Consider the following 25,429-nt stretch of genomic DNA (forward strand, 5'->3'; position numbering starts at 1 on the left):
GTGTATCTACATCCTAGCTCTTTGTGGCACCTTTCCAGATCCTCCCAGATTAAATTACTGTCCTTTCTCTGTTCTCTTGAGACATTTTCCCAGCTATCAGTCTGCCCTGAGTTACAGTCACTTGTGTTTTTCTCATGCCCTAGATTTCAGTTTATGGAGGGCAGGGACTATTATTTATTCATTTTTTTATTTCCTGCACCCAGCAGATAGCTTCACACAATTGTTGAAAATTCATTTCTTTAAACAACTTGATGACTTGTCCTTATAGATCTGACAGCCAGTGTGACCGTCAAAAGAAGCTCCTAAACCTTTTCTTTTCTAAGCTAAACTTAGTTTGCTCATTTTCAAGTAACAGTATATGTGTGTAAAATATGTTTGGAATTATGTCACCTACAATTCTAATAATGAAACAATAGACAAATTTGGAAAATGGGTATTCTACAAGGCAATGAGCCTGGACTATAGAAAAAAGTCAAAATCATGAAGAGCACAAATCAAAATGACAAGGGGACTGTTCTATAGTTTAAAAAGACATAACCAAAGGCAGTGCATGGAAATCCATTGGATCCTTAATCAGAAATCAAAAGCCATAAAAAATATTTTGGAGACTGGAAGAAATTACATATGAGATGATAATATTACATTTCTTTGGTATAATGATGATATTGCAATTACATGTGAAAATGTCCTTATTGTTGGGACACATATACTGCGTTATTTAAGGGTGATATGTCAAGATGTCACCAACTTATTTTCAAATGGTTCAGTCAAAGGGTATGGATATATATATATATATATATACATTCAGAATCTACCACTATAGGTAGTGAATGCAAAGGAGGATAGCAGAGGCTGGGAAGGGTAATAGGGGTTAGGGGGTGAGGGGATAAAGAGGGGTTGGGTAATGGGTGCAAAAATATATAGAAGGAATATGATCTAGTGTTTGGTAGCACAATAGGGTAAATACAGTTAACAATAATTTATATTTCACAATAAAGGAGTGGATTTGGAATGTTCCCAACATAAATGATAAATGATAAATGTTTGAGGTGATGGATACCCCAATTACCCTGATTTGATCATTACACATTGTATGTTTGTATCAAAATATATGTACCCCATAAATATGTACAACTATTGTGTATCCATAAAAATTAGAAATAAACTATATATATAAAAACTATATGGATATATATATAAACAAACTATATATGGATATATATATATCCATATCCTTCCACACACATATCCATATCCACACACATATCCATATCCACTGCTACCACTCTGTCTCATATATATATGTATATATGTATATATATATGTATATATATGTATGTGTATATATATATATATATGAGAGAGTGTCAATAATTGGTAAGTGTAGATGAAGAGTATATGGATATTTTATGATACTATTTTTTTTCCAAATAGTTGGGAAAAAAGAAAAGGAAGGGGCGAAAGGATAATTTAATTTCCTAATTGTATTTTCTTAGGCTATTGTTAAATGAATTATAGCTAAGCAGTGAAAACAAAACATTTATTCGGGTATGGTTTTATATTTAGGAGTGAATCAAGTTACTAGTGACTCAACTGTAAGAATTATTAAATTGGTAATGCAGTTTTCGTTGCTTGTTAGAGAGACTTCTCATACTTTATGGTTTATGCTTTGGAAGCAAATAAGCTCTAGAGGAAATGGAACAGGTATGTATTAAGGAATTTAAGTTTTTGCTGTAAGTTTGGAAATACTTAACAAATTCTAACTTTTCATTATCACAAGCCTTTTAAAATTACCTGTGATGATAGGTATCTATAAAAGTAATTATATTGATTTATCCCTTTTTTCTAGGTTAAAAAAATAAGTATGTTTTATTGGTGGTAGCTAAGTGGATCTAGTTGATAAAGGTGGAGATATAAATATATTGGTGTAAAAGGACAAATATGAGATAAGACTATGTATTTATTGCCCATTTATGTAATTGCATGTGTCACTAAGGACAAAGGTCCTTAAAGACGAAAAGCAGAGTAGAAACAGTTCCTTATATTAAGACAGATGAATTTGCTACCTCTTCCCTCTTCATGAATTTTTTTTAAATGTATGGTTGTATATCCTTCCAGTTTTATAATCACATTTGAAAACTCAACCATCTTTCTGGGCACAATTTGATGGCTGAAGATATGCTTCACTCCAATAAAAAGAAAATGAAGATTTTTCAAGAGCATTCGTAGGCTTCGAATCAAAAGGACAGTACTTATTTCCTGAGGTCTGATAACCGTTGTTTTATGAGGAAATAGTACTAGGATCACAGTACCATGGATGTGGTAGGCGAAAATGAGGCCCTGCAGCAGTTCTTTGAAGGTAAGAGGCCAATTTCCAGCATGAATTTGCTGCTTCTGAGAAATGCTCACTATCCCTGTTTCACCTTTTCCGTATTCACTTAAACTTTGTTTTGAAAGAAATGCTATCATACTTAGGTAACTCTCCTAATATCAAAAGTAGGGGTTTATTTGCTACATTGGGAGCAAAATTCAATGGTATGGATAGAGATTTTAAACAAAACAGGATTTTCATCTTATAGTTTGGTTGTTAGAATCAAGGGGTCAGCATATTTATGTTGTTATTACTTGTCCCTGTCCTGTACTAGATTTTATTTTTTCCCATGCCCTATGTTTAAAAAAACTACATAGCCATGCTCAAATTCCATGTGAAGGGAAACGTGACCATCATTTTTACACGGTAAGGTATTTTGCATGAGGGAGTATGAGAAGAAGTGAGGGAAGACCTGCTCATTTACAGAATCTAGGGATCAGTCAGCAGCACATCGAGAAAAGTGCTTTAGGTATTTCTTGTGCTTTGTAAAGTGCCTGACAAATAATATATATTTAAAAGTTGAATGGAATGGGCTGAATAGTAAACAATGCTGAACACTAAAGAGTGACGGGGCGTACCAAAGAAATAGTGAGATTCTATGTCACTATTGGGAGGAATCAACACCATGGGGTAGTTTCTGTGGCTTGGGTTTTTCCAGAAATGGCAAGAAGAAACATAAGACCAAGAGAATTATCACATTATCTTGTCCTACCATCCATCCCATTGAGTGTTCTGTCTCTGACAGTGGCCAAGTTGGTATTGTCTACCTGGGTCATGCTTGGCACATGGTAGGCACACTAGTGTTGCTAGACTGTTATTGCCTGATTTTATATCATATATAATTTTCGTTTGAGCAGCAGGTGGCAAGCTTCAATCTACCATTGCATCTATTTTAGAGAAACCAGCAATTTATTGTATACATGCAAAAATCTACTCCATTTCCTTCTAGAGCTAGGGAAGACCTGAATATCGAATTTGGTCTACCTTCTGTTTTTTGAAAGAGCTTTTATTTCTATGGGATCCCTATACTGTCCTTGTTTATACTATTTTTGGAGGTTTCTATGGATATAGTTTCTACAAGTCCCCTCTACAGCTTGTTACAATTATCTGATCATTATTATAAAAGTATTTGTCTTCAGTGTTTTTCTTACATTATCTGTGAATAGTTGGAAAAGGTGGTAGACTTCACAAATTAAAATGAAGGCACTAGCTTAAGTGAGTCCCATCCCCCTGAAAATCACACAGCTAATTGTCAATTTTTTCTTACCTCTACTATTCAGCAAATATTGAGCGCCTACTCTGAGTCAGGTTCAACAACCACTTTCTTTAAATGGTAGCTTGTAGGGCTTTGGATGCCTTCTCTTACATTTTAATAATTTCCTTTCTCTTGACCCTTTTCAAATGAAGGCAGCTGAACTGAAGCTGATATTCTTGATCTGCAGTCCAGTGCTCTACCTCTGAGCTATACCCTCTCCTTGAATCTGATATTCTAATGAGAAGAACCAGTTGTTTCATGTCATGCTCCTATTGATATGTTAACTGTTTCTAATCAAACACCATCTCATATATAAAAAATTCAGGGTTTGAAAATCAAGAAAAAAATTTGACAATTTGTTACCCACCTGAAAGCTATTTTCTCCATTTCCTCAGGCTCTTCATTCTAAGAAACTAAGCCCTAAATAATATATGTTTTCCTTATAAACATTTTTATATTAAAAATTATCTTGAATTAAATGGCCTTGACTGTCAAAGCTCATGATGATCTTAGTTTTTTTTTTTAAACTTCCAAACGTGACTAAATCTTCATGGTGTCTCAGGAAAATGACAAGGGTGGTTGTTCTGGGTAGCTGATAATTCTGGTTCTAATTCAAATCCCTGTCTGCCACTGATGCAATAGGTAGGCTTGTGAGCTAAAGCAGAAGAGGCGCAATCAGGCACTCTAGAGATCGCAACATCCTCTGGAAACTCAGACGCCATGTGAGATGTTTGGTTTTTTCAGCAAAATGGTACCACTTCAAAAAAAAGGTTGTCATAAGACGGGTGCATTGTTTTATTTATAATAACTAAAAATTGGTTACAACCTAAATTTCTAATAGTGGTGGATTTATTAATTATGGTTCTAACATATAATGGAATATTTTATGGCTATTAAAAATGATGACAAGGAAAAATGTTTATGATCTTAAGCAAAAAAGTGACTTACAATGTGGAATATATAAACACAATTAGATATATATAGATAACTTTCTATAGCAAAGTTTATTAAAACTGGGTTGAAAACAGTTAATATATTTCCATTCATGCACACACAAATACATAGAAAAAACCATATGAATATACTTTAAGCATTAATAGTAACTACCTTGGAGTGATAGGATTATGAAGATTTTTATTTTCTTTATACTTTATTATCTAAGTGCTTTATAATTTGAATATATAATGTTATAATCAGGGAAGAGTTTATCTTAAAGGAGAATAGGTTTAATTCAGCAAAATGCTTCTGTTTAAGATCCATGTGTCAAGAAAAATTGTAAAAGATTTTGACATGGATTGAAAGGATTACTGGGTGTCTTCCATGGAAATCTGTGCCTAAATCACATCATTCTGGGCTATGGGATTCTATGGGGTTTGCCCCTTTCAGTGTGGTAGAGCTATGTTAAAACTCTGTAAATTGCAGGTAACTGATATCGGTGCAAATGATTTTTATATATAGATATGCAAATGAAATATGTTCTTGGGGGATCAATAGTTTCAGTAAAAGCCATTTTTGCATTTATTTATAAATTCATTCTATACAGTGTATGTGTGTATCTGATGTTTGAATTCTCCTTTGAAACGGTTGTAACATCTTCCTGGTCCCTTCATTAATTAAGTAGTTAAATACAATCTGTGACATGCATTCATATTATATTTCTATGAGAGTCATGGTTTTATCTTTAGAAATCTATATGCTTTAACGTTTGCAAAGTTTAAGTTAACTTGAAACTTTAACGTTTGCAAAGTTTTAAGTTAACTTGAAAACATTGTCAATTTCACCTCAAGTTTGAAATTAATAACATCTGTTGAGCATTTACCATGTGCCAAGCGCCGTGCTATTTACTTTACATCATATCATTTTATTCTTACAACAACCTTCTGGATGAAAAGGAATTAAAAGATGAAGTACAGTAAATCCCATTCCTCACTTTACTTCATTTATCTTTGATAGCTATAATCTTAGACTCTTAATTTGTACTATCTTGATATCAGAGGACTCATTATTTGTTTCCAAGCTCTTAAAAATAGTTTATTAAAAATGATTTGAAAACAGTATTGTTGATTATATTTAATCTCGAAAGAACAAATTTTTGAGAAGCTATTTATTTATCTTCTTCATCCTGAAGTAGGTGCTCAAATGCTTTGTTGGCTTAGCGTTGAAAGCAAAGAGGAGATTCCCGCCCAGATTGAGCAGAGTGGGGAAAAGTATGCCGTGGGAAAAACTACATACTAAGATCACAAGTAAAAGCTCAAGAAGGAAACTGGCAGAAACTCTGGCTCACTTGTTGAGGTTTGTGGGAGTAGCTGCTAGAACCTGTGGAAGGACAGTAACCACCAGGCAGCTCTTGAGATCTATGAGGAAGAATAGTCTGTTCAGGAAACTGCCATCAAAAAAGCTTTGAACATTTTCTGCCCCTGTCTCGCTGCTTAAGATTTAAATTCTCCAGATAGCTATTATCAAAAGAGGGCAGTGGGGATGCAGGGAAGGCAGAAACATCTGCTGTCCATAAGCTGTATAGGAATACCACGGAAGTGCCCCATGTTCAGGAAAATGGGGGAAATGCTGAAGGCTTTGGAGCAGACAAGCAGTGACTGAAGTGCTTAATTCAGGTGGGATTAATCTAGAAGGGCTTCAGGGAGGTTAAGCAGAATTGCTGTGTAGAGGAGAGCCGTTGCTTGGAAAAAGTGCCTGTATGATATTGGCATATAGTAGGCACTTACTGATATTTATGTAGTGAATGAATGAAAGAACAGTGCAAAAGACTAGTCCATTCAACAAGCAGATATTGAATTCTAACCAGGGCTGGGGCACCCAGCAAGTTCAACTGTATGAAGAGGGAAAACTTGCCCAGTAGCAGAATGGTCCGGTGAATAGAACAGAGATGTTGATAGAATGCCTCAGATTCCATTATTAGCAGAGATAAAATGATAAATGTCTTAAGTGGTTCCTGTATATTATTTCTCTAAAATGTGAAAACAACTTTGATTAGCTGGTTTCTGAATTTCTGACAGAAGAGTCAGAAGCTCTGAAAGCCGAATGCAGTGTAGAGAACAGAACCTGCCCAGTGCTGGCACTGGGCAAGTCTGTCTTATGGGTAAAGAGTATCTCTGGCCTCAGGCCAGTCTCTCAATTCTCTGTCTTTGGGGCCACAACTTTCCCACTCTCTTAGACAACCAGTTTCCTATGCCCTCTTCCTTCTGTCCTAATAAAACCTAAGCTTGCACAGAGGAGCAAATGGCAAATGATCTAACACCACCTTACACCTCTGTAGAGTCTTGTATTCAAAGTGCTTTCATAGAACATTGAAACTGTCTGGATCAAAAGCAGCAGAAAGATTACCTCCTCCAGGAATAGGTCTGGTTAATCTCTAATGGTGGAATTTTAGGTATTATATTGTACCCAGCATCTTTGAAATTATCCCACAGATATACATAGATATAGATATCTATATATAGATAATATATAGAGAGATAATGTATCTGTATGGATATATTCTACCTTCTGTTTTTTGAAAGAGCTTTTATTTCTATGGGATCCCTATACTGTCCTTGTTTATACTATTTTTGGAGGTTTCTATGGATATAGTTTCTATATATATTATAGATAATATAGAGAGAGATAATACATTTATATAGATATATAGAGATATCTATATATATATATATCTCTGTGGGATAATTTCAGAGATGCAGGAGTTCATTGTTCATCTGTGCAGCAGCCTCTGATTCTGTGTAGAAACAGCAGGGACTTCCCAGGAGACTGGGAACAAGAACATGCCAAAGACAGGAAGAACCAGCCAGGTCATGCAAGGAATTTAGGATTATCTGAACATTTCTATGAAATTATCTGAACATTTCTAAGAAATACCTTTCTTCTTTCATTCTGGGATCTCCAAAATGAAGGTGATTTAATTAGAATTTGAAGTGTGCCGTAAGGAGATTAGAGCTGACCTTTGTCACCTGCCCACGCTACCTTTGAGACCTGTCAGATTTATCACCATCTCTGGGGAGTCCTGGAACAAAATCACCCAAACAAACCCTTCTGAGTGGAGGACTCCCCACCTTCTTTGGTGTTATTGTTATTGTCATCTTTCAACTTTGAAGTTAGAACCTGGTTTCTGGAAGACTCTACAATGTCTTGGAAGCTAAACATTCAATACATGGACAATTGTGGATAATATAGATAACCTAAAAGAAGAAGATCATTATCACTAGTAATTTTACTATTTAGTGCTAACTGTGTTCAGTTTGGTGTGTATCTTGTGTGCTTTTTAAAACAAAAATGGGATTATATAATTTGTACTTTTTAGTAAACATACAGTAAGCATCTCTTAATGTTAGTTATTCATCATCAACAGGGGTCAGTAAATTATGGACCACAGGCCAAATCTGGCCTGCAGCCTGTTTTTGCAAATAAACTTTTACTGTAACATACTCTTTTACATATTGTCTGTGGCTGCTTTGATGCTGTGAGCGAAGAGGTGAATGGTTGCAATAGAGACCATGTGGCCTGCAAAACCTAAAATATTATCTGGCTCTTTACAAAAAAAGTTTACCAACCCCTGATCTACAACCTAACTAATAATCATAATAACTGTTGTCAAGCACTTACTATGTGCTGAGTGCAGAATCATCCTTAGGAACATGGGTTCTGAGTTAGTCATCCTGGCTGTGATTCCTAGCTCTGCCACTGACTACCTGTGGGACTATGGATAGGTTCATAAGGCTCTGCAGGCCTTAATTTCCTTGCTTGTAAAATGGGGATAACCCTATTATCTCAAAATGTTGTGAAGCACTATGCCTGGCACAGAGAGACAGTAATTTTTAGTTCCTAGTATTCTCATTGTTTCTTAATTATTATTTTCTCCGTTTAGCATCAAGGCAGCCCTGGGGGATTTCTATCCTTGTATGAGAAACATGAGGCTGACAGAGGTTAGGTAACTTGCTTGCGGGTTATCCACATAGTAAGTGGCTGCAAGGTCATTTATTCCTTACCTTGTTTATTCAGTCAGTTGTCAAAGTCAAAATAAAAATGTAGAGATGAATCTCTAAATTTAATGTTTTATTTGGGAAGAAAGAATTGCAATTTGGAGCATACAGGCAGGCTAGGTTGTCTTTGGTATGCTTGAAGAATAAAGAGGAGGCTGGAGGTTTTATAGAAAGGAGAAATGTTATGTCTTGTTCTTTGAGGAAATTAATTGGCACTATTAAAGTTTAGGGAGCTGGCAAGTTTTGGTTGGTGAGTGACAGTGGTGGGTAAAACTAGTATTAAAAGTTGTAGCAGGTTGTTTCAGCAACGATTAGATATAAAACTGGTCTAAGTTTATATAGCAAGCAGTTTCAGCATCCAGGCTTGTAGAGAATTACATTTTTTGAGCAATGTTATATGCCCTGAGTGCTTTCTCCCCCTGGCCTCATGACTCTGTTTTAGTTGGCTATGACAAGAATGACCTAATTTGTGTGATCAACTTTCACACAATCAAAAAATATTTGACTGTCTCTCATGAGCCTGCTGCTCTCCTAAGAGCCAGGGACTCTGTGATGAATTAGCAGAATCCTTGCCTTATAGTGGCTTCTTCTCTAGATGAAGGGAGAAGACGATAGGAGATAAATAAAACAATGATTTCAAAATGTCATTAATTATGAAGAAAATAAAACCGGATGGTGGTGCAGAGAGTCTGATGAAGAGAGAGTTACTTGAGCTAAGACAATCAGGAATGGTTTCTGAGGGGATGACATTCAAGCTGAGACCTGAAGAATGACCAGAAGCAAGTCATGCATCTGTCTGGGAGAAGAACATTTTAGGTAAAAAGAGCAACTGTGCCGTCACTGAGCTTGAAGTGGTTGGGAGAGGGGTAGGAAAGGAACAGTGAGGTGGAAGCGCTTGAAGTGTGAGTGACAATGGGGAGGGTGGTAGAAAATGACATTAGAGTTTGGATTTTTATTCTCAGTGTGGAGAGTTTTAAGCAGGAGAACAGGCAGGGGCAGATGGGTGGGACGTGGGTGTGAGGAAGACAGAGGAATCTGTTTAGGATGATGCCTAGGTGTTGGTGTCAACAATTCATGGATGGTAGTACAATGTACTTAGATGTCGAAGACTGAGGAACAGGCTTGTGTGTGTGTGTGTGTGTGTGTGTGTGTGTGTGTGTGTGTGTAATTAAGAATTCATTTGGGACATTTTACGTTTGAGATCTCTTTTAGACAACCAAGTGGAAGCGATGAGGAGGCAGTTGGATTATTGAATTTGAAACCCAAGGAAGGATTAGAGCTGCTGTTGTCAATTTGGGAATCATCAGCTTAAAGAGTCATCAGTTTAAAGCCCCTGAGACTAAGTGAGATCACCAAGAAGAGTACAGATAGAGAAAAGGGTCCCAGATCACATTTTGGGATCCAAGTGAAAGTAACTAGTAAAGGAATGTTTAGTGAGGTAGGAGGGAAACCAGAAGAGTGTGGTTGTTAAACTAGGAAAGAAAGTGTTTCAAGAAGAATATGGTTAAACGTTTCAAATGTTTCTGAAATACAAGACAATTGCCTATAGAATCTGGGGAAAAGAAGGTTGTATGTGACCTTGAAAAAAGGATTTCGTGCAGTGGGGAAGGATGTCCAGTCAGTGGGTCGAAGACAGCAGCCTGTGATCAGTAAGAAAACCACTATCATTTAATGAAGGAAAACCACTGCCATTTAATGAATGCTTTACTTTATGTTGGATATTGTACTAAGACTTTATATTAATTCTTAATTTGCACAACACAATGAATGATAATGTTGTCAGTATTTTAGAGAGGAGGAAACAGATTCAGAGAAGGTATGTACTTTGCCCAAGGTAGCACAGCTATTAGGTATGTGAAGTGCTTAGATTTGGACAGAAGTCTGTCTGGCTCTGAAGGCTTGTGTCCCTATCCACTGTGCACATTGTCTTCTAATCAGGTCACAGGGAACATCTATAGAGATAGTTGTAGAACTCATGTCTCCTGTGAAGCAGAAGATAGGGCTTGCTTTTTTTTTTTTTTTTTTTCGGTACAATTTGCATGTAAAATTATTCCGGACTGCTAGCAGTTGGCACTTTACTGCCATCTGCCATTATTCCTTAGAAAATCCCAGCTCTAGCACAATAAGATGAGGTGTTAGTGGTAAAAAGGTAATGGTTTATGTTCATTGAGCAGGCAGCTCCAGAAACTCATAATGTAAGTCCACTAATAAGAGTACAAAGATATCAGAACACCATCACTGTTCTTTAGTCCTGCTCTGTGCATAACAAAAATATACAGAGGAAAGTTAGGCAGCAGGCTATGCTCAGAAGTGCAGTATAAATATTAACTCTTAATCTTGTAATTTTGGGTAATCTGACTCAGGACAAAAAGTCCAGCAAGATGGGACCCCAGTGGTTGATACCCTGGTATTAACAATATAAGAAACAAATGTCATATATGGCAATAAGAAGTAATGTGTTCTGAAGAGAGCATCATGTGACTTGATGCTGAGAATTAGTGTCATTCTCGTAGGGTTAAAGCTACCAATAGCTCAACTATTAAGAGCTGAGAAATATGCTTCCTAGGAATCTCTGTGGTATGCAGGCTAATGGTGTATGCCTTGTTTCAGGCACACTTGGCTTTGAATCCTGGTTTCTTTGCATCTTAGTTGTATGACCTTTTAAAGTTTCAATGTTCTCCATCTGTCAAATGGGGATAATAACACCTACCCTCTTACGGTTGTGAAGATTAATGATAAAACGTTAAAATGACAGAATAAATGGTAGTGGTTTTTATTATAGTATTTGCAAGTGTGAAGGAACCAAATTGCTTGTTTTATTTATTGTGAAACAAGAACAAGTACAGCTACATACATAGATCCATACATTTCTTTTTCAAAGAAACACTCCTGTCTCCAGGGAGTTATTAAAAGTTTTACATGTTCACATTAATTCCAGAGAATTTATAATCATAAAATCCATTTATAGCCCTTAGTTGCCAAGCAACAAAGGACAAAGTACTGAGTATTTCCTTTTATTGCAAAAGGTTCAGCTTTTCCATGTTGGTCTTGAAATCTACATTTTTCAGAAAACACAGAACAGTGAAACTTAATATATTTCCAAGATTTAGTTGGCATTCTTTGTTTGGGGTTAGACTCAAAGCTGAAAGAAATATATTGTTATTATTGTCCTGTTCTTAGATCGTCTGAAGGATTTTGTTCTAATTTTATAGTAAATCTGTAAGAAGTTCTGAAGTTGAGAGACTGCAAATTCATTTTAAGGAGATAACTTTTTTCAGTTTACCTATGTTCTGTGATGCTCTCATTTTAAAAGAACCGGTTCTTGTATCTATCAACTGTCTTTCAGGAAAGGCCGGGGTGGTATAAAATTCATACAGAAAAATGCTATCTGCTGACCTTGTTAATCACTGACCTCAAGTAGGTCATTCAGCCATGCCTTGGCAGGGTTTGGGGAAGCTGGCTCAGATCTGAACTAAATTCTCTACCTCCTTAAAAGGGATAGAAGTTTTTAACTACTTCTGCTGTTTTTGTTCATGAAAAACCAGAAGTAAAGGTTTGAAAGTCCATATAATCCAGAAGGATATATTACTATTTAACATCCCATAAAGAACTCCAGTACAACTCATATATTTAACCGCTCATAAAAGCATGCATGGGAAACAGTTTCTTAATTTGCATAGCTATTTTTTTATTCATCTGTATTAAAACAGTGCAAAAGCAGATTAGACATCTTTGGAATTTTACTGCCCTTGTTCCTATCTGTGTTCTGTATATGTAGTGGATTCCGTAGATGGAAAGAGAGAAGACAATGATCCTCTTTTTTTCTTCCATTGTTGGATTAGGGAAGCTTGTTGCTTTGAAACAAATCTATTGATAAGTCTCATGAAAGTTCCTGACATGGAAGAGGTTCCCTTGTCCCCCTCACAGGGTGTGTGACAGGGGCAGTGGCTCGCTTCTTCAGTGCCCTGCTGCTCAAACCTCTAGGAGAGCATACAGACGGGCAGGCTGTGGGGCTCCAACACCATGGCAGTGTCTAGAGGTGAATGCTTACAGCTCCTAAAGCCCCAGTGGATGTGTGTTACAGTGTGCTCTTTTAGTTTTGCCGTCTATAGGCTTGTGTTAACCACCTCAACTAGACCCTCTACCTTGTCGCAAGGACAAGAGGGCTTTCTTTATCCTGGGTTCTTGCCTTGGTGTACCGGAAGAATCGGATCACACGTGGGCTTGGAGAATGAGTGCAAGGTTTTATTGACTGGAAGTAGCTCGCAGCAGGTGGGGGAACCAGAAGGGAGTTGGTTTTCCCACTCAGTGGCCCGGATTGCCCTGGCCAAATTCCGTGTGCTTCTGCCGGTCAGGGGCTAGCCGGCATGCCGGTGTGGGTCCATTCCTCTTGACGTCCAGCCGCCTGTGTGTTCCTTCACCAATGTGCTCCTCTTGCCCTCCAGCTGCTTCTGTCTCTGCCTTGCTGGGGTCTCGGGTTTTTATAGGCACAGGATGGGGGACGTGGCAGGCCAGGGTGGTCATGGGAAATGCAGCAGAAATGCCTGTCCTCACCTAGGTCCATGGAGGTGGAGCCCTAACTAGGGAACACACCCTCCTCTACCCAGCACTCCCGCATCAGTCCTATGTGCAGGAAGAGGCAGAAATGACACAAATGATTATAATTCCACAAGATAACAGCTAGTCAAAGCTCTTCTGCTAAGAGTAAATATTCCTTGGAACGATTTTTCTGTGTGAATATAAGAGTAAGATCTAGCTGTTAGCATGAGCAGGCTAATTCCAGTCAATCAGAAGAGGGACACTTTAAAATCTATTATCCATCCATCTCAAGTGTTGTTCCTTAAGAAGCATTTGAAGAACTGCCATTAGCTCCTTTTATCCGTATAAGGATAAGACAAACAAAAATTTGCTTCCTTCCCCTGAGAGAGGCAGGTTTCTGTGTGAGAATCTGAAATAACCTTTACTGGTGGTGAGGAGGTCAGGTCTGTGAAACAATGCTCAGGACCTGTCCTCCCCTTTGCTGGCTTTTTGTGAAAATGTTAGAAAAAACAAAAATCTATAGACGGCCACCAATATTAACGTGTGTTTATTTTGCCAGTTCATTCTTAACCCAACTTCAAAGTTTCTTTCTCACTCTGCCATTTGTGTTATGCTTGCTTATAGAGTTTGACATTTTACAAACTCTTGCATTTCCATCAACTTGTTGGTCCTTCACACATTTAAAAAAAAAAATTGAGCCTTAACAAATTGACAGATATGCCTAAAATCGGATTGGTAAATTTCAGGCAAGACCCTGTGTTTTCATTCCAAGTCCAACACTTTTTTCATCTGCACACCACTCCGCCTACCCAGAGGGAAGAGCAGGGAAAGACAGGTATTGGCCCATTAGCTTCCGTATTCTAGAACGAGATGCCAATAAATATAGTCAGTATTTGGGAAAATTGCCTCCCTTCTATCCTCCTCTCACTCACTTACCCCTAGCCATTGTATAATTGCTCACAAACTGGCCACTGGCTACCCAACTCCCTCTTCAGGACAGAGTCAAAGTTTCCATCTTTTCGGACTTTGCCTAACCCCCTGCTTGGATGTAACTGATCTGTCATGAGTTCAACAATTGGTTCATTGTTCTGAGCCCTGTCTCCGGGGGAGTGGAGAGGAATTGGAAAGGGATGCACACTTACTGTGTGCCATGAACCAGTAGTAGATTCATATATGTTATCACATTTCATCTGCAAGCCACTCTGTAAGGTGGTAAAACCCATCTCCTTCATCCAGATGAGGAAGTAGGCCCAGAGAAGTTAAGCAAAAGTAGAATTTAACCCAGGCCTGCCTGACTTGCAGTTTTCTAAGTCTCATGCTCTTCTTACCTCTGGGTCACATGGGGCTTCCTCCTTCTGGAGCACACTTCCCTGCCTTGTTTACTTGGTTAACTTGGTTCACTCAAGATTCTGGCTTTGGCGTCATTCCCTCAGGGGCTCCCAGTGTGTTTCCACAGTACTTTGCACTTCACCTTTCAAAGTATGTAATGAATGCCTTTTTTCCGTGTCTGTCTCCTATGGACACCTGGAAGGAGGGAACTATGCCTTCTTCATTCTTGTAGCCTCTGCACCTAGGGACTGGTACATAGCAGTCACTCAAATGTATGTGTTGAGTCAATAAATAAAAAACTCAAATCCCTTTTCCAGGATTCCAAGTCTTCTGGATTTCCTTCTTTATCCTGCAACTGGCTAAAGACTAGGCCCTCAGACAGTGCTCTATTTGACTGTCCTTTCCCTTTCTGCCTGACTCGGGAGGACAGAAAGGCATTGCTGGGGAAGGACAGGCACTCCTGAAAGCCATAATGAGCAGTTTTCTTGTCACATCTTGCTGAACTTGTGCCATGCAGTGTCAGCCCAGGGGACATTGATTTAATATTTAACACTGTACATTCCAGGTGAGCCAACTCACCTGCAGCGCCTGTGGGTGGTGTCTCCTCCTTAGCTGTCCTTCCTTTTGAAAGGCTTTTTCCCTTCCTCCTCTGCCTCCTCCTCTTCTCCCCTCTGTTTTTCTTCTTCATCTTCCACCTCCTTTTTTGGCCTTGGGCAAATTAGACTTTCTAATAGGCCAAACCAGAATAATAATTCTTCCAAACTTTGGTTATAAAATCAATGAGATTATTCACTTCTATGAGACATGTTCCTGTCATTTAAAAGAAATTGTCAGCTTCTCTTTCCCAAATTTACCTTCTATGGCTAAAGTTAATGTTGCTTAACATGTAGTCAATTGTGTTTTATTTCTTTTTGGTTGTTTTATTTATTCTTCTGTATATTAACATTAATGTGTGTTGTCGAAGAAAAAATGTATGTAACATAAAAGTTTAATCCTCACATTGTAGGACTGGAAGAAGGCTTAGCTGTAAAGTTTCTCAAACTGCTGGAAAAATTGATTCCCAGACTTCCAGAAAGGCCAGAGGATCATGCTTAATTTATATTTCAAATCACTAATTTAAAAGGAGAAGTGTGAACTTGATAATGTACTAGTAAAGACCCTGAAATACTTTTACCATGATAGAGGTTACATGATGCAATGAACTAGTCACTTTCCCTTCTTAGTTTGAATCCCATTAAAATTTTTAGATTATTCACTGAGAAGCTGTGCAAAGCCACAAGTGCAGCTCTCTAAAGACATCGAGCCAACCAGCAGTCATTTATTCTTTACCCTGAGTGATTCCTAAGTTTGTGAAAAAGCAATGAAGGATGGATTCATCTGGCATTTTAGTAACCGTAATGCTAAAGGAACGTAGATCCATAATATTTTAAAGTTATATATGACTGACCCCATCAGCAGGCACACCCACCTTCTTTCCTGCAAACGGAAGCCAAATTAGTTCAGATAGAGGAGGAGAGTCCTTGAACCCAGAAAGAACAGGTTCTGACTCAGCTTTATCAGATGAATTGTAATTCATTTAAACTAGTTATCATCATCTCAATTTCCCCCTCTCTTTTCCCTTGGTCTTCATAATTCAGCACTGCAACTCTTCTTTGCAACCCCTTCTACTATTTCCAAATGAAGACTAAATGCTAATATTTGCTGAAGTACTTAGCAATATTAATAATAATTTAACATGTCTTAAATTTGTATTAGACATGTCATTGTTTTTATTAACTTTTAATGTTTTTCTTCAACTCTACATTCTTCTGCTATTTTTTACAATTCTGCAAAAAGCAAAGTTGTTCAGGAACACGTACATTATGTTATAGTAGAAAACACCTGAGCCCCTGCAATGACACTTGTGTTACTGAACTTGAGCAATACTTAAGCTCGCTAAGACAACTTCTCTGAAAGATAGGGATAATAATAGTACCTATCTCATAGAATAAAATTGTTTTGAGTATTAAATGAGAAAGTAAATGTAAAATTCTTAGCATAGTATTGGTACATAATAAGAGTTCACTAAACTTACCAAGTATTATCAATCTTCTCCATTGACTGTCTCTCAAATGGCTTAGCTCATGATTCTTTTGCTCCTTACTGGATCTCCTGTGGATCCCCTACTATTTGTTAGCATTCCTTTTAAAACCTGGGTCCCACATCCTCAAGATCTGACCTATGCATAGAGGAACAGGAATTGCACTATCCTAGTTCTGTACTCAATACTTTTATTATTATACTCTACATTAGTTTCCTTGTCTTTTCAAAACCTATGACAAAACTAAAAGACCCATGTCTTTGTCATCTATTCATTCATAAGCCAAATTTCCCCATATTATATTTACATAATTAGAAAAACCGATGCAAACATGTATGCTTAACCTACTAAATCTCATCCTGCCAAAGTCAGCTATGAATGCAATCAGTCACGATTAGAGTCTGACGCTTTCTACTATATTGTACCTTGCCCACTGCCTTCAGGCTGTCTGAATGTATGTCCAGTTTGCCTTCTCTATATTTTTCCGAATTACAAATAACATTATTGAGAAGGATGCGAGCAGGTAATTAATTTCATGCTGAATTTTAGGATTTTCTTCAGGTTAGCTCTCTGGGGGACAGTTATTCTCCCAGGTACAAATTCACCTGATTCTAGCATAATTTCCTCTACATTTCTCCATCTTAGCTATAAATACAGCCATTTTTGACCTCTCCTCTCTACTCCCCAAGTTGTATCAAAAGCTCCTTCCAAATGTCTGCTTGGGTCTGACATCCCGCTGCAGTGTTCCTGCCTGTTGACTTCCCTGTGCTCCCCTCTCCTGCCTTAGTGCTGCTCACTGTTGTATCCTTGTGCCTAGCACACTGCTCTTCATTACATATGCAATAATTTTGAATGAATAAGTTCATTTAGCGTCTAGTTGAAATAAAGATATACATTTCCTCCGAGAGTCTCCTAATCTGCCGGTCAGGCAGCTGAACAGGAAAGGCAATGAAGCCCATTTGCATGGCTAGTTCTTGGTAGACACATGCAGGTTTCTGGATGTTTTCTGCTGTTCTTAGAGTCCAGCAGCCAAGTTTTTAATAATCCTTGCCAAATTTTTGCATCTGTGACAGTTTTAGAAAACCCACGTGGGGGTTGCCATCCTGTTACACAATGTGCTTGAACTATTTACTCAAGTTGAATAAAGGTTAATTTTTATTTTATCTCTCAATTATCAGGCACATAAATTCCAGGTGATTCATGTCATGTGAAAGTCCAGCCAGAGACAGTCTTTTAATTCAGTTATTATTTCCAACAATGGGTCACGTTACTTCCGTTTGAAATAACTGATTAGATTCTTCTTGGGTCAGTGTAAAACTATCTGCACAAGGAGACTGGGAGATTCCCAGGATTCCAGGTTGTTAGGTGGAGTTTTTCTTGGGGGCAGTGCCCTGCTGCTCACTTCTATCTCCAAGAGTACAGAAGAGTACATGGCCCCATGCAGATAAACTCATGCTCCTTCCCCGGCTCCTCATCCAGTTCTCTCATATTTGCTATTTCAAGTGACCAGCATGACCATCAAGACAGGGACTGGGGAATCACCTAGATTTCTTACAGTCAGTCACAAAATTCAATGGCTTATCCTCCCAAATACTAGCCACATACAGTGATGTGGTAAATGTTTAATGAGCAACTCTCTAGTTTTAGGGGAAGGGAAAGTTGGGAAGCAGCCCTGATTTGTAGCATTTGCTCATTTCCATGGTGTAAATGCTCTCACTATGGCTGATTTCAAGCTACTCACATGATGTTAAATATGAAGTTGGAAGAGATGTGCACAAGCTTGTACAACCTGGCTCCAGCACATTGCTGCACATTCTTCCACTTTCCTGACCACACCACACCAGGTCAGACTTTCACAGCATTCAAGGCCCTAGGATCTGTTTCTGTTGATAGTTGTAGCCTTGTTGACCCCCGCTCTTAGAAGCTTTTCCTGGCATCTTTTTGCTCCTGTTGAGTCATTAAAGTGCCCCACAATGCCCTGTGTGCATCTCTGTTGTCACATTATCTTGCTATGATATGTTTTTATGTCAGTTTTTCTTACTGGTCTATAAACTTCTTGAGCACAGAAACTAATGGTAATGACAAGGGGTAGAATTTATTGAGCTGGGACCTATGCTAAGCACTTTGCTTGTATTATCTCATTTAATTCCCACAACTCCTCTGTGAGGTAGATGCTTGTATTAGCCTCATTTTGAAAATGAGGAAAGTAAATAAAGGAAGACACTGAGAGGCTAGCTAACTTATCCTGGGTTACACAGCTAAGTCTCAGCAAAGATGTAAGCCCTAGCCTGACTATAGAACCAGAATCCTTAACTACTATTGCTTCTTTGTGTTTGGGTCTCTAACCCTTAGCACTGTGCCTGGCCCATATCACATGTCCACTGTGTTAAGAAATGCAATGTGGGAAGTTTATGCTGGCAATGTCCTTGACTAGTCTCTTTAAACTAGTCTTGCCCAGCTTCAGTGCAATCTCCCAACTGCAGGCTAAATGATCTTTCAGAATTATAAACCTAATCACATCACTCCCCTGCTTAAAGATTTTCAATGACTCTATCACTTTCAAAATAAAGTTCTTATCATAATACACTTTCCACCATTCATAATTACATTTATTCATTCACAGCTTTATTTACTCACCTAACAAGGTCAACATTTATTGAATAGCTATAATATTCTACATCCTGTTCTGGATGCTTAGGATTTGTATAATAAAAAATAATTTTTGCCCTAGAAAGGCTTAGAGTTGAGCAGAGAGAAAGAGATGCACAACACATAATTGCTATGGTGATTGAAATAAAAGCACATACAGCTGGCAGTGGGGTCCGGGAATGGTGTGGCCCTCAGTCTCTACCATGTTCTTCACCTGCCTCCTGGCTGTGGTCAGACTATGGGCATGTTTCCAGAGTCCTGCTGTTGATTATTTGAATTTATTTGCACATGCCTTTTTTGTTCCTAGGATGTTTATCATCTTTTACCTAGTGAATCCCTACTTAACCTTAAAAAGCCCTCTCAGGTGTCACTGATAGGAAGTCCTTGGCTCACCCCAGGCCAGCCTAATTAAAAGGCTTCCATAGTATCCAAGCACACGTTCATCATTACTTAACACCTTGCATTGCTATAGCTGATTTTCTTGTCCCTCTCACTGGACCGTGAGCTTGTTTCTGATTTTATTTCAGGACACAGAATGAACACTAAGTAAATGTGTAAGTAAATGAATAAAGCAATTAGTTAATTAATGATTGGTAATATCTCTAAGAAAATGTCATCCTTACTTCTCTAACTCTGGACTGGTTGTGTCTCTACACACCAACATTAGATTTTAGATCCAGTACTACATTTAATGGATTTTTCAAGGCAAAAGTATTCTAAGCAAATGAGAGAAGTAGAGTATTTTATTTCTCTTTATCTCCTCTATCTTCTTTTCTTCCTCTCCTCTTCCTTCTTCTCCGAAATATCTATTAACATTTCTGCTCCAGTTTTTCATGAACACTGGCATGTCAGAGGGAAACTATGTTTAAATCCAGAAAGCAACCCTTTGGGAGACCCTCATTATTATTTTTAAAATCCTTTAAACAACTAGAGTTGTTGGAACAAATTTTGTCATCTTGCCAGTTGTCTGAATTCTCTGGGCGTCACTGTGTGCACCAAGTGTGAAAGAATAAATCAAGAAGAGGGCCTTATCACTGTTGGGGAAAGTGATGAAGAAAGCTGTTGGATGGAAATAAGAAAAGATCTTTATATAGGACTGGCAGGTGGTGAGTGGAGAAGGCAGGGAGTCCTGAAAGCAAGGTCTTTGCTGTGCCTTCCCTGCTCACGCCCTTGGAGAAGCCCCATAGGCATATGTAGATTTTTTAGTAGGTCCTGTGGGTACAACTTGGTTGTGTTTGTAGTACTCCCTGATGGACTCATCTTCATAACCAAGTGCCTTTTTATTGTCTTCCTACGGCCAAGAGCAGCAGTACATGTTACTGTCTTACAGCTCTTGCTGCTCCTGGAAAGGGAGGCAGAGAATGAGGGTGAGGAAGAGCTTTGCTTTACAAAAGCAGTGCAGGGACAGCTTCTCTGACACACCCAGGAGGCCTACGCAGCTTCTCCCTTTGTAAGCAAAACTGTGGCAGCCCTTCCTAGCTACAGAAGTAAAGAGTGGAACCTGATTTCAAACTGAGCCTCCCTGATGGGGGATAGGATGCTTAAGGGTGCCCTCTTGGCAGGCTTGGGTGTTATAAACAAGTGTTAAAAACATTTAGAGCAAAGCGATTATTTTTAAAAGCATGAGATTTATTTTAGGAGCCATTTGAGAGTTGTTCTCTGTGTGTAAAACCTCCTGAAAACAATTTTATCTGACACTGTGGATTTATCTTTTTGAGTAATTTCCTTTGGATTTGGAAAACACAGATAGGATTTTGGAGTCCAAGAGGAAGCCAGTTACTGCAGGGATCATCTCTCCTTATTCATTAAGGCGTTTGGGCAAGCCACATCAGGCAGGTCCTAGAGCTGTGGCCCATCTCCTATTTCTACCTGGGGGAGCAGGTTGGGGCCGGTGGGTGATCTAAAGCAGGTGACACAGGAGTCAGGTCTTAGAATCTATAGGCCACCTCCTATTTCTACCTGGGGAATTGTGTGGCGGGTGTGGAGGGGAGAGTGAAGGGTGCCATATAAAGCAGATGGGACACCAGCAGGGGCTTCAGAGGAAATCTAAACAGATTCTTCCCTCCATCTGCTTCTGTTAGCAGTCGGCTTGCCCTAAGCCCAGTGAAGCAGTAGAAGCAAGTCAATCCTCCCTGCAGTTGGCTGGCATTGCTGGGGAGGCGGCGGGGCACGGGGCGGTCGTGAGAGCACGATCAGTAGCCTGGGTTGGCTTCCCTGTGTGTCACTTACAAGCTGTGTGACTCTGGGCAAGCTGGTTAACCTGTGTAATCACTTGGCCTTATCTGTAAACTGGGAGTAGTATTGATGGACACCTCCTAGGGCTGTTAGGAAGATTAAATAAGATCACATAAGCAAAGTGCTTGTTCTTTTGCTTGGCTCAGAGTGAGAAATTCAAACTCTGAGCATCCCTGGGTAACTGCAGAAGTATTTAAATTGATCTCCTTCTCTTCTCGTCCCCTTATAATCTTCCCACAAGCAACCAGAATGACCCTCGAAAACATAAAGTATATGATGTCACTCTCCAAAGGCTTCCTATTGCTCTGCCCTCCTGTCCTACACCCATGCTCCTGTGCTCTAACCCATTGGATGATTTGTTTCTTGCTACTGCCATTTTTTCTCCACCTGGCACGCTCTGCCCTTGATCCCTGCATGGCTGGCTCCCTCCTGAGAGAGGCATCCGCATAGAAAAGTGTTCCCTCCATCACAGTCTGTTATACCAGCCTGTTTTGTTTTCCTCACACTCTGAAAATATCCTTTTATTTGTTATTTTTTATATGTTATATGTGTCCCAACCTACCCCCAATGTCACCTCCTTTCCCTCCCTTAGAATGCAAGCCCTCTAAGGGGTTCTTGTCTTCTTTTTCACAGCTGGGTCCCCAGAACTTTGTGCAATGCTTGGCACATGGTAGGTCCTTAGTAAATTGTGGTTGAATCTATGAAAGAATGAAGATGTCTTGTCCATCCTAGCCTTTCTTCAAAGTCTAACTGAAGACTCAACTCCACTATGAGGTCATTTCTGACCATCTAAATCTCTAGGAATCACTCCTGTGAATCCAGGAGGCATGTGGGATATATTCCACTCATTTTCATCTTAGCTCATGTCAACAAATTGAGTTGGTGATGTCTCCTCCACTATTTTCACAATTCTAAAATGTAGAGAAAGAAGAAAAGCCTCCAAATTCTTTTTATGAAGCCAGCATAAAACTTGAGGGGTATTGGAGTGAGGGATAGAAAGCAGAACTATTATGTATTTAAACTGTACCTGGAAAAAACCCACAAAATTTATTAAGAACTCATTCAATTATCTGTCATCTATTTCAGATTTTAATAAGATGAAAGAAAAACTTTATGACTTTCCACTGTTGGGAAAAGCGAAAAAAAAAAAAAAAAAACCTTGTTATTTCAGGTTCTACAGATGTGAATATTATAATCCTCTAGCAAAGCAAAGCACGGAACAAAGTATACCTCACAGAATGGAGATTGGGAGTTGCCAAAGATAATACCTGCATCATGCAGTGCTCTTGACACCCTTCTAAATGATGGGATTGAGTGCATTTGTTTATCCGTGGCAGCTTAGAGAACAGTTGACTCCAGCAAAACTGGCTCTCCTCTGCATTCAGCACAAATAAACTCCTTGCCTTAGTTTAACCCTTGGATGCTGGCTTTTAGATATTGGCTATTGACTATCTTTTTTTTTTTTTTTTTTTTTTTTTTTATGACTGCCACAGTACTAGATACTTTTGTATGTCTCATTCTTTTTTGTTTGTTTGTTTGTTTATTATTATTATACTTTAAGTTTTAGGGTACATGTGCACAATGTGCAGGTTAGTTACATAGGTATACATGTGCCATGCTGGTGTGCTGCACCCATTAACTCGTCATTTAGCATTAGGTATATCTCCTAAAGCTATCCCTCCCCCCTCACCCCACCCCACAATAGTCCCCAGAGTGTGATGTTCCCCTTCCTGTGTCCGTGTGTTCTCATTGTTCAATTCCCACCTATGAGTGAGAATATGCAGTATGCAGTGTTTGGTTTTTTGTTCTTGCGATAGTTCACTGAGAATGATGATTTCCAATTTCATCCATGTCCCTACAAAGGACATGAACTCATCATTTTTTTATGGCTGCATAGTATTCCATGGTGTATATGTGCCACATTTTCTTAATCCAGTCTATCATTGTTGGACATTTGGGTTGGTTCCAAGTCTTTGCTATTGCGAATAGTGCCGCAATAAACATACGTGTCCATGTGTCTTTATAGCAGCATGATTTATGGTCCTTTGGGTATATACCCAGTAATGGGATGGCTGGGTCAAATGGTATTTCTAGTTCTAGATCCCTGAGGAATCGCCACACTGACTTCCACAAGGGTTGAACTAGTTTACAGTCCCACCAACAGTGTAAAAGTGTTCCTATTTCTCCACATCCTCTCCAGCACCTGTTGTTTCCTGACTTTTTAATGATCACCATTCTAACTGGTGTGAGATGGTATCTCATTGTGGTTTTGATTTGCATTTCTCTGATGGCCAGTGATGATGAGCATTTTTTCATGTGTTTTTTGGCTGCATAAATGTCTTCTTTTGAGAAGTGTCTGTTCATATCCTTTGCCCACTTTTTGATGGGGTTGTTTGTTTTTTTCTTGTAAATTTGTTTGAGTTCATAACTAGTGGCAATCAGGAGCTACAGTTCTTTGGTAATTGTCTGGTGGGGTGGGAGGTTCTTGTGCCACTCAAACTGCTGCAGTAAGACAAAGGCTTAGTCAGAGGGCTCTGAAGGAAACTCACATTTCAAGGCCCTTTTGTTGTTGGGTGCTAATGTATTCTTCTGCTCAGAAACTGCAGAAAGGATGGGGTGAAGGAGGGCATATAGAACAGAGAGCATATGCCCCAATTATGCCACCTCTTTACTAAGGATTGTCAATCCAGTCCTTGCTAGTGAAGACATTCATTCATTCATTCAACAAATATTGTTTTTTTCAAAGAAAAAGTTCATTTTATTCTTACTCAGAGATGAACTTCTTTTATAACTTTATGATTACAAAAGTAATACATTTAAAGAATAAAACAAGTATAAAGAAGAGAAAACAAAACAAAGCACTATCACTGAAGATAATCACCATTAACATTTTGGATTCCATCTCTGTGGCTTTTCTATGCATTTGTTATCCAGACACATATACTTCCTCATTAGCTGGCTCTGGAGTCCTAGAAAATATTTACCTCGCTCTTCAAATGACTTCTCTCTCTCTCTTTAAAAAAAGAAAAAGAAAAAAGCTTTAGTACTATGAGGTTACAGTGATGAATAAGACAACTATGATTTTTGCCCTCATGAACCTTTTCTAGTAAGATATAGGCAATCATTAAGAAGCTTTGATTTGAGAATTATTAGTCCAAAACCTTAGAAGCAGCATTTGCTTTCAACCTTGCTTTTCATGTAGTCTGAAAAAATCAATTTTTATGTAGTCAAATTTATAGACTTTTTTTCTGTATATTTTTTGGTATTCTTATTATGGTTTAAGAGTCTTTTTCTCTTTCCAAAATATACAGACATCAGACATATGTGCCTGTTTTCTTCTAGTAATATTATGGTTTATCTAAATCCTCCATACATCTAGGAATTCATTTTGGTGTAGAGGTGAGACTCTAGTATAGAACATAGCTTTTTTTCATGGACATAAAATGATACATCTATCACAAACTAAATTCTCATAAGTATGTTTGGGTTTATTTCTGGACTTTATTATGTTCAAAATATTGGTCTGTTTATTGTTGCAACACAATATTTATATTACTTTTGTACATCTTGTTGGTAAATATCCCTTTTTTACTCACATGTTTTTTATTATCATGGGTATTTTCACATTAGCATTCTTTGAGATAAACTTTAGAATCAGTTTGTTTCCTTAAGAAATTTTTGATTGTAGATATATTAAATTTATAAATTAATTTAGGAGTATTTACATCTTTATACTATTGCCTTTTTTATCCAAACAAAATATGCTCTTAATTTATTCATCTTCTCTTCATTCTATCAGAATTTTAGAGTTTCTTCTTTTGATTTAATTTTATTCCTGACAATTATATTCCTATTATAAATGGATCTTTCTGCATTACATTTTCTCAGTAGCTGTTGTTTGAATATAGAAATCTATTTTTTATACATTACTTTTGTGGTGGTCTCCTTATTGAAGTTGCCTATTATTTTAAACAAGTTTT

The 25,429-nt window shown here is 38.2% G+C and overlaps 1 protein-coding gene across 1 annotated transcript in view; it reads left to right on the forward strand.

Annotated features, from left to right (window-relative positions):
- The first annotated feature begins 2,022 nt into the window (after positions 1–2,022).
- The window catches only part of MYRFL (myelin regulatory factor like), a 133,871-nt gene continuing 110,464 nt past the window's right edge, over positions 2,023–25,429 (forward strand). Inside the window, exon 1 of the mRNA NM_182530.3 lies at positions 2,023–2,359. Within this exon, the coding sequence (NP_872336.2) occupies positions 2,314–2,359 (46 nt within the window). The 5' untranslated portion in view covers positions 2,023–2,313. The remainder of the gene's footprint in view (positions 2,360–25,429) is intronic.

Source organism: Homo sapiens, chromosome 12 (genome assembly GCF_000001405.40).
Source record: "Homo sapiens chromosome 12, GRCh38.p14 Primary Assembly".
NCBI classification, from domain to species: Eukaryota; Metazoa; Chordata; class Mammalia; order Primates; family Hominidae; genus Homo; species Homo sapiens.